This window comes from Homo sapiens, chromosome 18, assembly GCF_000001405.40.
Source record: "Homo sapiens chromosome 18, GRCh38.p14 Primary Assembly".
Taxonomy (NCBI): Eukaryota; Metazoa; Chordata; class Mammalia; order Primates; family Hominidae; genus Homo; species Homo sapiens.
This window is the reverse complement of record NC_000018.10, coordinates 22,156,036-22,170,806: the sequence shown is the minus strand read 5'-3', so window position 1 is coordinate 22,170,806 and position 14,771 is coordinate 22,156,036. Positions and strand designations below refer to the sequence as shown.

The window sequence follows — 14,771 nt, the reverse complement described above, 5'->3', positions numbered from 1 at the left end:
CTCCGTGCGCGCGCCAGATCCCAGGGGTGATCTGCAGAAGCTGGCTGAGGCTTTCCTTCCGCCCTAAAGTGTCTCCCCCGGGCTGATGACACACAAAAGAATTTAAGTAGCTGTGCGTGTCGGCACCGCCGCATCCCGCCTCTCTGCGGATGCCCCTCTCCCGAAATGCCTCGGGGTGAGGGTTCCCCACGGGAAAACCCTTCGCGTAAGGAAGGCAACCTGTCCCCGAAAACGAAACCGCCGCGTTCTCCTATATTGGCTCTCCCAGAGCTTCCCGGACTGCGCTGACCAGCCCGAACGCGAGCCCCAGAGAGAAATGCAACTCGGCCCAGGGAAAGTGGGACGCCAGGGCGGGGGCAGCAGTCTGGGTCCTTCCCAGCAGAGGCAATGCGGAGAGCTTGTGGGGCGGGAATCGCCAGCCCCACCGGCGTCCCCGCGGCGCCGCACACCTTAGACACGGCCCGCGCCTGCAGCCACCAGCGTGCGCGCTCACGCCGGCCGGGCCACCCGGCCCACCCCGCGGTCATCTCCAGCAGCAGAAACGCCGGACCGTTCCGGAATCGGACGTAGCGGGGTGGAGCGGAGAGCAGAGAAAAGGAGGGGGAACGCAACGGGCTGGGGAGGGGGGAGCGTGAGACCGCCCCAGAGCCGAGGCGACCCCAAATGGGAGAGCAGGAAGAATGACAGGGAGACTCGGAGCGAGTGGGGGAGGGAGGTGAAATGCAGCCGGGCTGGCCTCCTCCAGGCTGCTCTTCCAAATCGCCTCGGCTCATCGGAGATTACCACACTAAAATTAATGCCCACACACAGACCTGGCTAGATAGCAAGAAAGAAGTTTCTCTGCCTGCCTAACTACCGGCTCCCGCCCCTTTGCGCCGAGATAACTCGGAGATAAGGCTGCGCGCAGATAAGCGCTTCGAGGAGAGAAAAAGAGACTAGAAGTTGGTCCGCGGTGTCCCGGGAGCCTGGGAGCCGCCTCAGCCCGCCCGGAGGGAAGGAGGGAAACACCGTCGGAGCCGACCGCGGCCTGGAGAGGGCCGGAGAGCCGGAGGCCAGGGGCCCGCGACGAGTAGGGGTGGAGGGGAGGAAAGCGGGGAGATCGCGCGAGGAGGAAGCAGCCGAACCTCGGGCGGGCGCTGCGCATGGAGAACGGCCGCGGCGGAGGGTGCTCCCAGGCGCGGAGAGAAGCCGAGGGCGCCAGCGGGCGAGCGCGAGTCCGGGGTCTGCGCCGCGCTGCTGGTGAATAAAAAGGAGAGAGGAGGCGCCTCTTACTGCTCTGCCGGAAAACTGCAGCCTGGGCTCCTGATTGGACTCACCGAGCCCTAAACAAACAGCGCTCGCCGAAGGGTGCCAGGCTGTGGGTCGGAACTGCGCTCAGCGAGCAGCTGGGCGCTGGAGGTGAAGAGGAGGAGGAGGGATCGAGGGGAGGAGAGAAAAGAGGGTGGGGAGGGGACGGCGAGGGGGGAGGGGAGCGCGCCGCCCAGGCAGACAATGAGAGCCGCGCTGCCTGCGGGCGTGGGCTGAGCCGCAAGCCCTGTCCCCGGAGTGGGGGCGAGTCCACCCGGGGGGCACCGAGCCCAGGGACCCCGGGGGAGGGGCGGAGGCCACAGAACGCCTGACCTGGCTAGCGACCCGCACCCATCCAGCGGCGGTGCACCCTCCCGCTCCCGCAGTCGCACACACACACCCACACGAGGGAGGGGGAGGGAGCCTTGGCACGGGAGGAGTTGGCAGTGCACAGTCCCGCGCCGCCGCCGCGGCGGGAGGGGCGCTCCAGACCTTGGGTCAGCACGCCCCCAGAAGGAAGGGGGAACGTGCTCTGCGCCCCCCCGCCCCCCAACCCCCGCCTAGCCCCTTCACAGCAAATGCGCTTTTTGCCCTGAAGTTGTGTGAGACCGACCTTAAACTTTCTCCGACCCTATCTCGGGATGCTACGGCTCAGGTCGTGGTGGTTTCGGGAACCTCAAGACAACATTCCCCAGCTGACCTTTGGGAACTTTAACTCGGGTCGTCATGTACGGAAAGGTAGTCTATGGGGTACGCAGAATGGAAAAGGGCTTCCACATCAGTCGTGTCCGAGGACGCTCTCCAACTTTTGATGTCCCTGGAGAGTTTCTGATATTTCCCTGGAGAGTTTCAGGTAAGTCACAGATAAGTCACTGCGAAGAGGGGGTGTCACCTTCCCTGGACCCAGCGCTAAATGCTGCTTCCCCACCCCCACGTTCATATACACACCCCCTCTTCGCTCCCTCCAAACAGTTATCACAACTCTGTACAAACTGATACGGTCCCTAGCGGGCAAAAGGGACTGGAAATGAACGTCGCGGGGTTATCAGCGCCGATCTGTCAGCGGCAACTCGCGCGGCCGCAGGCTCGTCCGCTGCAGGAGCCGTGATATATGTCTCGCTCCCTTTCGCTTACAGAAAGGATTTCTTCCGACAGACGTGACCCCAGAAGGCTGCCGAGGGAGACTTTAGGACAAGAGGCGTTGTTTTTGTGAGAATGAATTTTTATACTTTACCCCGACCCCACCCCCTACCCCCCGCCCAGGTAAATCCAAGTAAATGATTTTCTGAAGGTCGGTCTCCTAGAAAGCGTTTAGGCTCTGGTTTTTTGTTTTGTTTCTATTTTCGTGTTTTCCCAGTTAGGGAAGGAAGAGGAGCCTGTGCAGAGTTGAACTGGGGTGGAGAGGTGCCTTGTAAAGTATGGTTTCCAGAGATGGTGAGACCTCGTAGCTAAGCGTTGTTTCCTCTGCACGTAACTGTGAGTTGTGAACTTGTGGCTCCTGGGGGAGCGGGACAGGGCCTGGCAGTGCGGGGGAGGGGGCAAGGAATTCAGGAAGTTGGCGAGAATTCTTCGTTTTTCATTCTTCGTTGTAAATTGCTTCTAAACACTTCTGAATTTTAAATTGCTACCGAGAAGGTCCAGAAACCGTTCTCATCCAATTTAGTCACTTTTATTACGTTCCACTTTGCCTCCCCCAATCACTGCGGCGGCTCCCAGTTTCAGCGTGGCCGCATTTGGAAAAGGCTGAAGGTAGAAAACTCTGGAATGGAGAGGCTGGCGACTGGAGCAGGATCCAGGGGCTTTAAATTTTAACCTGAATGCGATCGAATGCGCGACTCCCAGAAGAGATAGCCAGGCGTCCGCCCGGCCGCTCAACCCCCGCCAGGACTCGGAATGCCTTGCTTTTGGTTCTTTTCGTGAGTTCCGACCAAATGTTTAAGTGGACTGGGTTTTGCAGAAGCTCATTTGTAAGCACTGACGGAAATGGGTTGTGGGCATTTGATTTCCTTTGATTCCAACGTTTTGAAATAATGTTTCTCGGATTTGCTATTCGAAGCAATTTTCTAAAAACTCATATCTTATTTGCTAAAAATAAACTCTTTGGCTCAGTTTGTGTCCAGGCTGTGTACGGCCTCCAACCCTGAGCCCCGAGGAGATCGAGCCCTGGCGCGAGCCTGATCTCTGTCCTGTGTGTTTCTTTGTATTTGCAAGTACAAGGATGTCTGCGTGGATATCCCTGGACACTCGATACCCCCCGGGGACCTGCTTTTCCCGCAGCTCCGCAGACGCGGCGGGAGGGCGCGCTGGCCCCGGCGCTGCTGGGACAGAGGTGAGCAGCGGGGTGGACATTGACCGATTCGACAACGTTCGGGCTCTAAGGGCTCGGGAAGGGACCCGGCATTTTACCCTCCAGATTCCCAATCTATTTTTAAAAATAATGTTCAAAACATATGGGAAAAATAAGTGATTGCTCCTTTTCATGGTCACAGATTGTATTTATTTTTTCAGACTGGTTTTCCAACCTAACGAGGGAATGGGTAGTGAATGTTGTTGTTGTTGTTGTTGTTTATGTTGGTTAATTTCGAAATAAAACTGTTTAACTCGTACAGTTGATTCAGACAGAAAACCAGGCTGCCTGACGTCTCCAATGTGCCTTTTCCCCAATGCATCTTTGGCGCTAGGGACCGCTCTGGGGAAGACAAGCATGTTTTCAAAGCCACTCCCATGAGCCCCAGACCCGCGCGTGGAGCTTCCTGGGCGCGCCCCAGCTGGTCTGGAAGGCCGGCAAATTAGGAAGTTTGGAGGGAAGAGGTGCACCCCAAACTAGGGAGAAACCCAAGAGCTGGGGAGAAGGCCCCCACTAGTGTCCAAAGTACGCGGACAGCTCTTAAAAGTTATTGTTTTCTTCGTGGGGATATATATTTTTTCTTTTCCTTCCTTTCCTTTTTTTTTTTCTTTCACCCTCGCATGTCTCCTCTTTCGGGATTTGCTAATCTTGAACGAAACTGTTCTCTCCGGACTGTTTCGACCCAATGAGCGGCCCCTCCTGGGCAAGTCGTCCCCCTTACCCTCACAGAGGGCTGGCTCCCGGGCGCGGCCTGTCCCCAGGGTTGATTTATTTCGGCCGCGCCACACCACTATTCGCGATTCGAATCCACCCAGAACACTGCAGCCAATTGGGCAGGGGGCGGGGGCTTGGCTGCCAAACGGGAAGGGTGTTTGGGGACCCAGTCTTGCGCCGCTTCCGGAGGAGCGGCGAGACCCAGCAAGGACCCGCGTCCCCGTGCACCTCCACCCCCGCAAACTCACGCTCATTTTACGATCCTGTCACAAAACTGGCTGCTTCGGCGATGTTTCATAAGGAAAAAGAATGCATTTCTGACTTAAAACATATTTTTAACTTAGATTTTTAACAGCCCAGATTTATGAGGCCTTCTCGCTTATACCATATTTCTTCCCGTCTCTGGGACGCTTTTACCCAAGGACCCGGGGTCACCTCAGAGCCCCCCACCCCTGCCAGCGTCTGGGGCCAGTGGTGGGTTCCGGGCGGCGTGTCCCCCACTCAGCGGCCGCACTGCACGGTAGGCCGTCGACCAGAGTCCTGGCGGTGATTTTCTTTAAGTTTAAATCTCGGGAAACCAAAAACACTCTTTAGAAACGTCAGGTGGTGGCGGCGGAAACTTGCAGGTCGCCCCCACCCCCAGCGCCGGCTCCCGCCGGCGGCCACTTCGGGGAAGGACCGCGCGGAGCCAGCGCCGGGGTCCCCGGGCGGTCGGAATCGAGGCCCGGCGCGTTGCGCAGGCCAGGCCCGGCCCGGAGGCCCCTTGCCCGGCGCAGCCCCCGGCCGACCCCCGTGCGCCGCCGGCGGCCGCCAGCACGGCGCGGAGGTGGGCTAGCGGCGGCGGCGCACGAAAGGTCACCGCGGTGGCATTCCTCTCCGCGCTGTTTACGTGACTTAATGTACTCGCTGCGCCGCGGGTAAGTTCGGGCTGCGATAAGGGGGCGGCCGGGGGAGGGTCGCCGTAAAAGCCCCACGCCGGGCGCCTCCAGCCCTCCCCTCATCCATTAACCTTTTTACTTTCTTCTCCGCTCTCTCTCCAAGCCTGTTATCTAGGCCACCCAATGACCGACGAAAGATTTTCCCTCCCTGCTTCTCCCGTGGCCGCTTTAAACCAAATAAATTTAGCTATTAAGGGCCAAGATGTCTGACAAAAGATCGAAAGGTGTCTTTCCGTGATCGCTTAAAGAAGCGAAGGAGAAGCTTGCGGCTCTCAAATCCCGATAAAGAAATTCCGCGCCGGCGCCGGCCTCCCTCCCCGCGGCCTGGTTGCTCCCTGACGCCCTGAGACCCCGACTTCGGCGGCCGCAGACCTCGGACGGGCCCGGCGGGACCTGTGGCTGCCGCCTGGGGAAGGTGGAGGTCCCCGGGCTGCGGGGCCAGGGAGTGCCAGGCCCTAGGAGACGGGCGGACAAGGGGGTCCCCGGGAGCTCTGGAGCTCCAGGTGGGAGCTGGGTATCCTAAAACGGCCCCCGTGCACTTCGCGGAAAAACTAAGCCAAGCTCAGGGGGCCGAAATTACCACTCCGTTTTGATTATTTTCTGATACTAAATAATAAAGATAAAACCAAACTGCCCCCACCTACCATCCCACTCCCTGTAGGTCTGCTAAGGGGCAGTGTGCTGGTCCACGTCGCTGGTCCTGGGGCAGCGCTCCCTTTGAACCCCAGGCTGAAGGTGGTGGGTGGAACTGAGGCTGCCAGGGAAGGTGTGGACTCGCAGAGTAACCGCACGCAGGTGGGAGGCAGAGGTCCAGTCATTCAGTCATCCCTCGGCTTGGGTTTGGTTTGAAGTGTGGTATTTATTATCATTATTAATTGCTACTGGCACCACTACATAAAGCCTAGGGCTGCCAGCTGGGCTGAGGCTCTGCCCCTGGAGTGATCCCTTCCCTTTCACCAACGGGTGACGGCAGGGAAGATCCAGTTTCCTGATCCTGGATACTAAAAAGTGGGCTTGGGGAGTCAGTTGTGATGTTTTTGAAGTTTTCTCCTCCCCTTAAGTAAAAAGAGTCCATATTCCAGACCAGCATAAACCTTTTCTACCTTTTTGAAATAGGACAAGGAGGTGATGGGGTGGGGGTAAGTTTCAGATGAGACCCCTTGTCTTCCCTGCAGAGGGCTTTCCCAAGTCTTCTGCCTCCCCCAGTGTGTTCTCTGGCAGATGCTGGGAGCAGGACTCTCAATTCCAAAAGGCAGCCCAGGGTCTGCTGTCTGTCCCCTCACACTAGGCTGGGAAGTGGAAGATGCCTCTCTTTTTTTGTTATCCCTTCCAAATAAGGTGAATGCCAAAAATCATACGTCCTATCTGATCCGTACCCCACCAGCCTCTGGGGAGGGGAAAAATTAGAGCATCAGAGGAAAAGGGAATATTTCTGCTCCCAAGAAGGTGAAAGAGATGGAGAAATGCCCAACCCACTAGGCAGGGAGGACCTAGGCTCTTCCTGGATTTTGCTGGTATCACAAGGTGTGCAGGCCATGCCAGTTCTAGGGCCAGGGTCCAAATACGACCGTCCCTGGGCTGTCTCAGCTCAAAGACCTTCCTGACTGTTCAGTAGTTTTTTGGTTTTGTTTTTTCAAAACCAAAAAGCGTGGGACAGGGATGGCTAAAGGGAAGCAAGAAAAAGAAGAAATCAGCTTTTGGAGACTTGCTGAATTACAAATGCCCCACTTTGAGTCAATTAAAGGGGCAGAAAGTGCCCAAGAAACAAACAAAAAAATAACCCAGAAATATGACCTCTCCATACAGCTATGTTGCAAATATGCAGAGAATTAGGACCAAAGGCTTGTCTACCAGGATGCAGTCCTCCAGTTCCCTGCCACTTGCCCAAGGCATACTGAGTATGCACTGCACGAGGAAGAAAGAGAAGAGTTAGCTCCTAGTTTTGAAGTGTTTACAGTCTAGAAGGTTGGCACCTCTGTAAAGCCGGTTAGGCAAAATCCCACTTTCCAAGATGGAAGGAGATGACCGAGTCTTTTTCCCTTCTCTAGAAAAGTCTAGATTGCCCTCTAGGCAACCCAGCGGGTTTGAAAAGAAAGGAGTGGCTCATACACTGAGAGAATTTCCAGAAGCCATTGGGCCTGCGCAGGACCCTGGGCCAGGCTGCCTGGGTTTCAATCCTGATGCCACCATTTACTAGCTATGTGATCATGGCAAATAGCCCAACCTCTCTGTGCCACAGTTTCTTCATCTGCAAAATGGGGATAATAAAAGTACTCCCATTACGGGATTGCTAAGAGGATGAAAAGATTTCTTACATGTAAACTGCTAATAGTACCTGGCACATAGTAAGTGCTATATAAATGTTATTACTAATATCTATTGTAGTAGACTTTCATATACTACACCAAATTTCGATTTCTTGTTTGGCCCAACTGTCCCCAGGAGCAAGATTAATTCCCAGTAAATAACTTCTTTGAGCACTCATTCAGTTGGGACCTGTGATTCACCAGAGGTCTCAAGCCTTTTCTATGTACCAGCAGTGAGGACTTTATTTATTGCATTATGGTAGGAAAGGAGGTGAAGGGTGAGACAAACATAGGTTCTTTACTTGTCTTTGGTTCCTTTGAAGAGGAGACATCCCTTGTTCCCCTTGCAAATGCCAGCAACAGATCTTCTGCAATATCTTCTACAGGACAAAGACAGTAATCTTGAGGCTCCTCCTCTGCTCCAACAAAAGAATCCCTGTCCCAGCAGCACCCCTTCCTGGGAACCTCTTTCTGGCAGTAGACAGGAGTGAATTAAGAGACCACTAAGAAGGGCAACCTTGAGGACTGGCATTAGATATTAGCAGGGGCGGGGGGTGGGGGAAGAACTAATTAAAGTGACCTGATCATCTAACTTCAGACTTCTCTTATGCCTTTTACTCTTCAATTTGGTTTTGTTATATATGCAGATTTATTATACTTTAATCATATTTTTTTGGAAGGAAGAAAAAAAGAAAGATCTCTGAGAAGCTAGGGAACACATTATTGATAGGGAAAAAATCTAGGCCATTCCAGTCATTTTTCAACTGATTTTCTGTTTTGTTTTGTTTTTTTTCTTATAGCACCCTATCTTCTAAAAGAAGATCTAAACCTTCATAATGAAAACTTTAAAAAGGAATTTATGGGATGTAACAAAGAATACTCTTCTCTAGATAAAATGACAGGGAAATAGATTTGTCTTTCAGAAGGCAAAGTCTGGAGGGAACATAAAAGTCTTCCCGTCCCTGCAGTTTTTCTGCCCGATTTGTGCCCAGAGCCTGTTTTTCTCTTGTCTTTGACAGTTCTGATCTTCTCTACGTTTGATTTACTGAGTGCTGTCATTTCTCTGCTCTTTACTTTCACAATCACACATTCAAACCTGATAAAGTTCAAGACCCTGAATACTTGCAGCTCTCCCAGATTTACAGCCCTCCTGCCCCCCAGCCCAGCCAGCCGTCCCGAGGCTGATTGAATCCTCATGGACAGAAGCCTTTGGGGGTCAGTGGAGAGCCAGAGGGTCCAAGAGGGCCAGGCCCAGGGGGAACATCAGCCCCTGTGTCAACTCTGTTATCCATAGCAAGCCTGGGTAGGTCCCTTCCCCTTGAAAGCGATTGTCAACATCCTCTTGTTTCAGTTCTCACTTCTAGCCTGTAACCTGCCTGTGGGCAAGTACAGGAACTGTAACTCACAAAATAGAATTGGTGAGGATTCAAGAGGCTGAGATGGAAGTATCGCTTGAGCCCAGGAGTTCGGGGCAGCAGTGAGCTATGATTACACCACTGCACCACTGCACTCCAGCCTGGGCAACAGAGCAAAGCCCACAGTCAAAAAAAAAAAAAAAAAAAAGGCCAGGTGCAGTGGCTCATGCCTATAATCCCAACACTTTGGTAGGCTGAGGCAGGAAGATCACCTGAGGTCAGGAGTTCGAGTTCGAGACCAGCCTGGCCAACATGGTGAAACCCTGTCTCTATAAAAACAGCAAAAATTAGCCAGGCATGGTGGCGTGTGCCTTTAGTCCCAGCTATTCGGGAGGCTGAGGTGGAAGAATCACTTGAACCCAGGAGGTGGAGGTTGCAGTGAGCCGAGATCACTGCACTCCAGCCTGGGTGACAGAGTGAGACCTTGTCTCAATTAAAAAAACAAAACAAAACAAAAAAAAAAACAGAGAGAGAGAATTGGATGCAAAATTGTGGTCAATGTGCATGCATAAGTGCTAGATTTTCCTGGACTACTAAACAGCCTTGTAATCAAGGGCAAGACACTTAACCTCTTCGTGTCTCAGTTGCTCCATACATAAAATGGTAAAAATATTACTTTCTACAAACATTAATCACGAACTAATGACTTGGGTCCCCTTTCCTGCATGTACGTCCATCAGGGCCCCAGAAAGACCACTAGCATGTGGCTGATCTGGCTCTTTGGTTTCTGTCAGGTTAAATACAAACTTACACATTAATCTAAATACTACACCAGTGGGCTAAACAAAAGGGATGATCCATTTCCAAAGGCTGAACAGTTAACTTAGAGTCAAATTTTCAAACCACTGAAATGTCTTCTGATAGAAGATGCTATCTAAATTGTTTATTCTTTGCCTGCGAATATAAGCCCACTCAACCATAGAACGCTGACCAAAAGCAATCACTGAGGATGGACGCCCTTATTCTCAATGATTACTCTAAAGGGACTTCATACTTACCAAATAAGCAATTCTTTTGCATGAGCTAATGTTTTCATTTATCTTGAACTATCAGAGTTTTCTGACTAAGGTACACATTTTAGGTGGCAGCAGTTTAAGTAGGTATTTTTTTTTAATCACTATTCTAAGTCTATGGACTAAGAAAGGTATGATTCCCCTCCCCCCCCTTTAATGTTCATGTCCTACAGAGAGCCAAATTGTCATAATACCTAAGGGGAAAATTGTATTAACCTATTAGGGAAGGAAGCAGAGTAGTTGCCTACCTTCTTCAGAAGGGATTTTTATTTTTAATCTATCCACTCAAGAGACACCCTTTAGAGTATATTACAATGTTGCTTTTTCCTGGCCATAATAATATTCACCCCTACAGAGGTGGATAAAGATAGAAACCTGACTTAATGGATATCAAATAACTTTTTCTGGCTACTCTTAAGCTAGATTACTGCTGTTTATAATACCACAAATTAAAGATATGCAATTATCCAACAAAAAAAGTGTGACTATTATACCATTTTTAAAGATTGACTACCAGTGCCCAGCAAACTCTAGCCAAAAACCACAGTGTGGATCCACAAAGCTGTCAACCTTTACATTTCAGTCATCTTTCTGTCCAGAGCTCAGCATGCTTTGGGCAGAAGTGCAAAAGGCTAGGTGCATGGGGAAAAGTCTATCCAGTGTAACTGCTGCAGCAGCTGGCTGCACCTCTGCACCTGGAGCTAGATTAAGCACCAGTTATGGAGGCATGGGTTCAAATCCCAGATATGCATCTTGCTGTTTCTCTTTAGTTGTGTGATCTTGGGCATGTTCCTTAATATCTCTACTCCTGGTCAGGCACGGTGGCTCACGCCTGTAATGCCAGCACTTTCGGAGGCCAAGGCAGGTGGATCACCTGAGGTCAGGAGTTCGAGACCTCTGTGGCCAACATGGTGAAACCCCGTCTGTACTAAAAATTCAAAAATTAGCCGGAGGAGGCTAATTCTTATCTCTCAGGAGGCTGAGACATAAGAATCACTTGAACCCGGGAGGTGGAGGTTGCAGTGAGCTGAGATTGCGCCACTGCACTCCAGCCTGGGCAACAGAGCAAGACCCTTCTCAAAAAAAATATATATATATGATTTTCATGAAGATTAAATGAATTAATATTTATAAAATGCTTAGAAGAGTGTTTGGCTCACCATACAGGGTTTTTGAGATGTTTGATAAATAAGCAAAAACACAAACTTCTATTTCAGGCCACTTTTTAAGGGGAAGAGAGGAGGTACCAAGGCCTCAAAGAAGTGAGGTAGGAGGGTGATCAAAACTAAAAAGAAAAGACGAGAAAAAGCTTTCAAGAATATCAGACATTTCCTATAGGGAATTATTTGCAATCATCAACTCACCCTGTCTGTCCCTAGGTGATAGTGCAAGTAAGTTTGTGTTTGTTTTATTTGGTCAAACTCCTTGATCCTGCTGAGACAAACACTATGGTGGGTACTAGGGAAGCAAAGATGCTTGACAATGCCCTGCCCTCAAGCTGCTCCCAGATAAGCAGGAGAGACAGACAAGATTACAGAAAATCGTCACACCAGGTGGCAAGTGCCACTGTAGAGAGAAATCAGGGGACTGTTGGAGTGCAACCAGAGAAGGCTTCCTGGAGCAGTCGTAAAACTCACCTGACTGAGTTTTGAGAAATGACTTAATCAGACAAGGTTTAGGAAGTGAGAAGCAGCAAAGATAATTAACTGGAGCCTTAGTGTGAAGTGCCAGCAAGAAAGCAGAGAGGTTGGCAGGATTCTAATGCAGCCAAAGATCTTTTAACTATAAAATTATACTAAAAATGTAGATGCAAAAATATGCCTTTTAGAACAAAAGATAAGGAGTGTCAATGAGAAAGAAATGATCAAACCTCCAAGTGTATTCACTGGAAAATTGACCTCAAGGATGAAAACCTCTTCAGACAGAGAGATCACTGTTGCATGCTATGAGGGCCAAGTCATGACTGAATCTGCTAAAGTAAATTGTAATTAGATTTGGGGCATTAAAGTGGAACCCAAAATAATAAAATTAGGCTGGAACACTAGAATGTCAGCTCAAAACGGCCGGGCACGGTGGCTCACGCCTGTAATCCCAGCACTCTGGGAGGCCGAGGCAGGCTGATCATGAGGTCAGGAGATCGAGACCATCCTGGCTAGCATGGTGAAACCCCATCTCTACTAAAAATACAAAAAATTAGTCAGGCGTGGTGACAGGCACCTGTGGTCCCAGCTGCTCGGGAGGCTGAGGCAGGAGAATGGCGTGAACCCGGGAGGCGGAGGTTGCAGTGAGCCGAGATCGTGCCACTGCACTCCAGCCTGGGCGACAGAGCGAGACTCCGTCTCTAAAAAAAATAAAAATAAAAAAGAATGTAAGCTCAAGAAAACTGGAATTTTTGTCTGTTCTGTTCATCACAGTTTCCCCAGAGCCCAGAACAGAGCCTGGCCCATAGCAGGCATGTCATACGTATTTGTTGAATGAATGGTACATGAAAATATATAGCACACTCCCCATAACCTTGCCACTCACTTCTCTGATGTTGAGACATGATATCACCAGCCTCGTTGATATGCCATCAAATAGTAATTCCCACTCACCAGCATCACAACCTATTGCCACATCCCAGGGCATTGTTGATTGCTTTCACTTACAATAATACCCTCACTGTCTTTGGGCCTGTGGCACACTCTCCCCAGGCCCTGGCAACCTTTTACTTAGACTGCTGTAGGTCTCTTGGGAAGCAGGTGCTTGAGGGCTGTCCCCTCACATTGGAACTGTAAATGAATTCTCTAACTGGCATCAGACTTTCTACTCACTATTTAATAGTCTTCATTCTCTACTTTCAAAATCCTGGCACCTGCACCTCACTTGACCCTCCTTCCTGTCCCACCTATGGCTTCTCTTCTCCCTCAAGCCTTCTCTCACGCACTGCTCTAGGGCTGAATAGAAATTCAAGCTCCCAGCTGGGCACAATGGCTCACGCCTGTAATCCCAGCACTTTGGGAGGCCGAGGCAGGTGGATCCCCTGAGGTCAGGAGTTCAAGACCAGCCTGGCAAACATGGCGAAACCCTCTCTTTCTAAAAATGTAAAAATTAGCAGGGCGTGGTGGCACACGCCTGTAATCCCAGCTACTCAGGAGGCTGAGGCAGGAGAATCGCTTGAACCCAGGGGTGGAGGTTGCAGTGAGCCGAGATCGCACCACTTCACTCCAGCCTGGGTGAAAGAGCAAAACTCCATCTCAAAAAAAAAAAAAAAGAAAAAGAAAGAAATTCAGCCTTCCTCCTTTCCTATTCCACCAGTCCCTGAGATTCTACCTCCTCCACGAGATCTCGCCTGACAATTTAGAAGAGGAACAGTGGGTTTTGTTCGTACATAATCACCTCATGTCCCTGGCACCAATACTCATGAATAGTCCAGAACCAATTTAACTTCGACATACAAGAGGTCTCCCAGCTTTAAGTGCTAGTTATGTTTCTGAAGAGTTGTGGGCATGTAGCATTTTTGAAATCCAAATTATTCAAGGCCACCCTGAGTGAAGAAAAAAAAATCAAATCACTTTCTGGTTGATTTACACTACAGCTTTTAATTCTTCATTTCAAACTAGTTATAAATTAGCAGTAACTTCCAATGTTTATAGTTTGCTTCTCTGTTCTCTATTGACTCTCCTTTAAGACTATAATTTTTTTTTTTTTTTTTTTGAGATGGGGTCTTGCTCTGTCACCCAGGCTGGAGTGCAATGGTGGGATCTCGGCTCAATGAAACCCCTGCCTCCCGGGTTCAAACGATTCTCATGCCTCAGTCTCCAGAGTAGCTGGGATTACAAGCATGCACCTCCCTGCCTGGCTAATTTTTTTTTGTATTTTTAGTAGAAACGAGGTTTCACCATGTTGCCCAAGTTGGTCTTGAATTCCTGACCTCAGGTGATCCGTCCGCCTTGGCCTCCCAAACTGCTGGGATTACAGGTGTGAGCCACTGTGCCAGGGCAAGCCTATAATGATTTTTAAATAAATAAGTTCATAGTTAATGCACTGGGAAGTATAGTTTTTACTTTCAGCTCTTTAAATTAATCACCTATATATTTTTATATATTTGTAGCAGAGGCTGCTCTCTGCCCTCTAATATTTGCTCTCCTTTTTATTTTATTTTTTGGGATGGAGTCTCGCTCTGTCACAGACCTGAGTACTGTGGCATGATGTCAGCTCAGTGCAACCTCTGCCTCCTGGGTTGAAGCGATTCTTCTGCCTCAGCCTCCTGAGTAGCTGGGATTCAAGGTGCCCACCACCACGCCCAGCTAATTTTTGTATTTTTAGTAGAGACAGGGTTTCACCATGTTGACCATGGCTGGTCTCGATCTCCTGACCTTGTGATTCACCCGCCTCGGCCTCTCAAAGTGCTGGGATTACAGGCATAAGCCACCATGCCCGGCCCCTCCTTTTTATACAGGAAAAGATGTTTTAGCTCTATCAGTTGTTGCCCAGCTAAAAACTACATTTCTCAGATTTTTTTGCAATTAAGGGGGGCTAAGAGACCAGGTTCTAGACAGTGGGATGTGAGATAGAATTGTAACTTCTGGGCCAGGTGCGGTGGCTCACGACTGCAATCCCAGCACTTTGGGAGGCCGAGGCCAGTGGATCACTTGAAGCCAGGAGTTCGATATCAGCCTGGCCAACATGAAGAAACCTGTCTCTACTAAAAATACAAAAATTAGCTGCGCATGGTGGCATGCACCTGTAATCCCAGCTACTCCAGAGGC

At 50.4% G+C, this 14,771-nt stretch overlaps 1 protein-coding gene and 1 long non-coding RNA gene across 3 annotated transcripts in view, besides 2 other annotated features; one reads left to right on the top strand and one right to left on the bottom strand.

Annotated features, from left to right (window-relative positions):
* GATA6 (GATA binding protein 6) overlaps positions 1-1,218 on the bottom strand; it is a 32,940-nt gene extending 31,722 nt beyond the window's left edge. Inside the window, exon 1 of one of the 2 annotated variants that reach the window (NM_005257.6) lies at positions 1,125-1,218. The gene's annotated coding sequence lies outside the window, so the exon portion shown is untranslated. Of the gene's footprint in view, positions 1-449; positions 591-1,124 lie in introns of those variants that run through there. The other variant, XM_047437483.1, reaches the window with a different exon arrangement.
* GATA6-AS1 (GATA6 antisense RNA 1 (head to head)) lies at positions 1,839-3,909 on the top strand. The gene is made up of 2 exons (NR_102763.1): positions 1,839-2,140; positions 2,424-3,909. It is a non-coding gene; the product is annotated as a GATA6 antisense RNA 1 (head to head) (long non-coding RNA).
* Positions 3,070-3,573: an enhancer, noted in NCBI's record as "H3K4me1 hESC enhancer chr18:19747195-19747698 (GRCh37/hg19 assembly coordinates)". NCBI's record gives its function as "activates a minimal SCP1, AML or CMV promoter by ChIP-STARR-seq in naive and primed H9 embryonic stem cells {active_cell/tissue: H9 hESC(naive and primed)}" and the evidence as "EXISTENCE:reporter gene assay evidence [ECO:0000049][PMID:30033119]".
* Positions 5,193-5,771: an enhancer, noted in NCBI's record as "H3K4me1 hESC enhancer chr18:19744997-19745575 (GRCh37/hg19 assembly coordinates)". NCBI's record gives its function as "activates a minimal SCP1, AML or CMV promoter by ChIP-STARR-seq in primed H9 embryonic stem cells {active_cell/tissue: H9 hESC(primed)}" and the evidence as "EXISTENCE:reporter gene assay evidence [ECO:0000049][PMID:30033119]".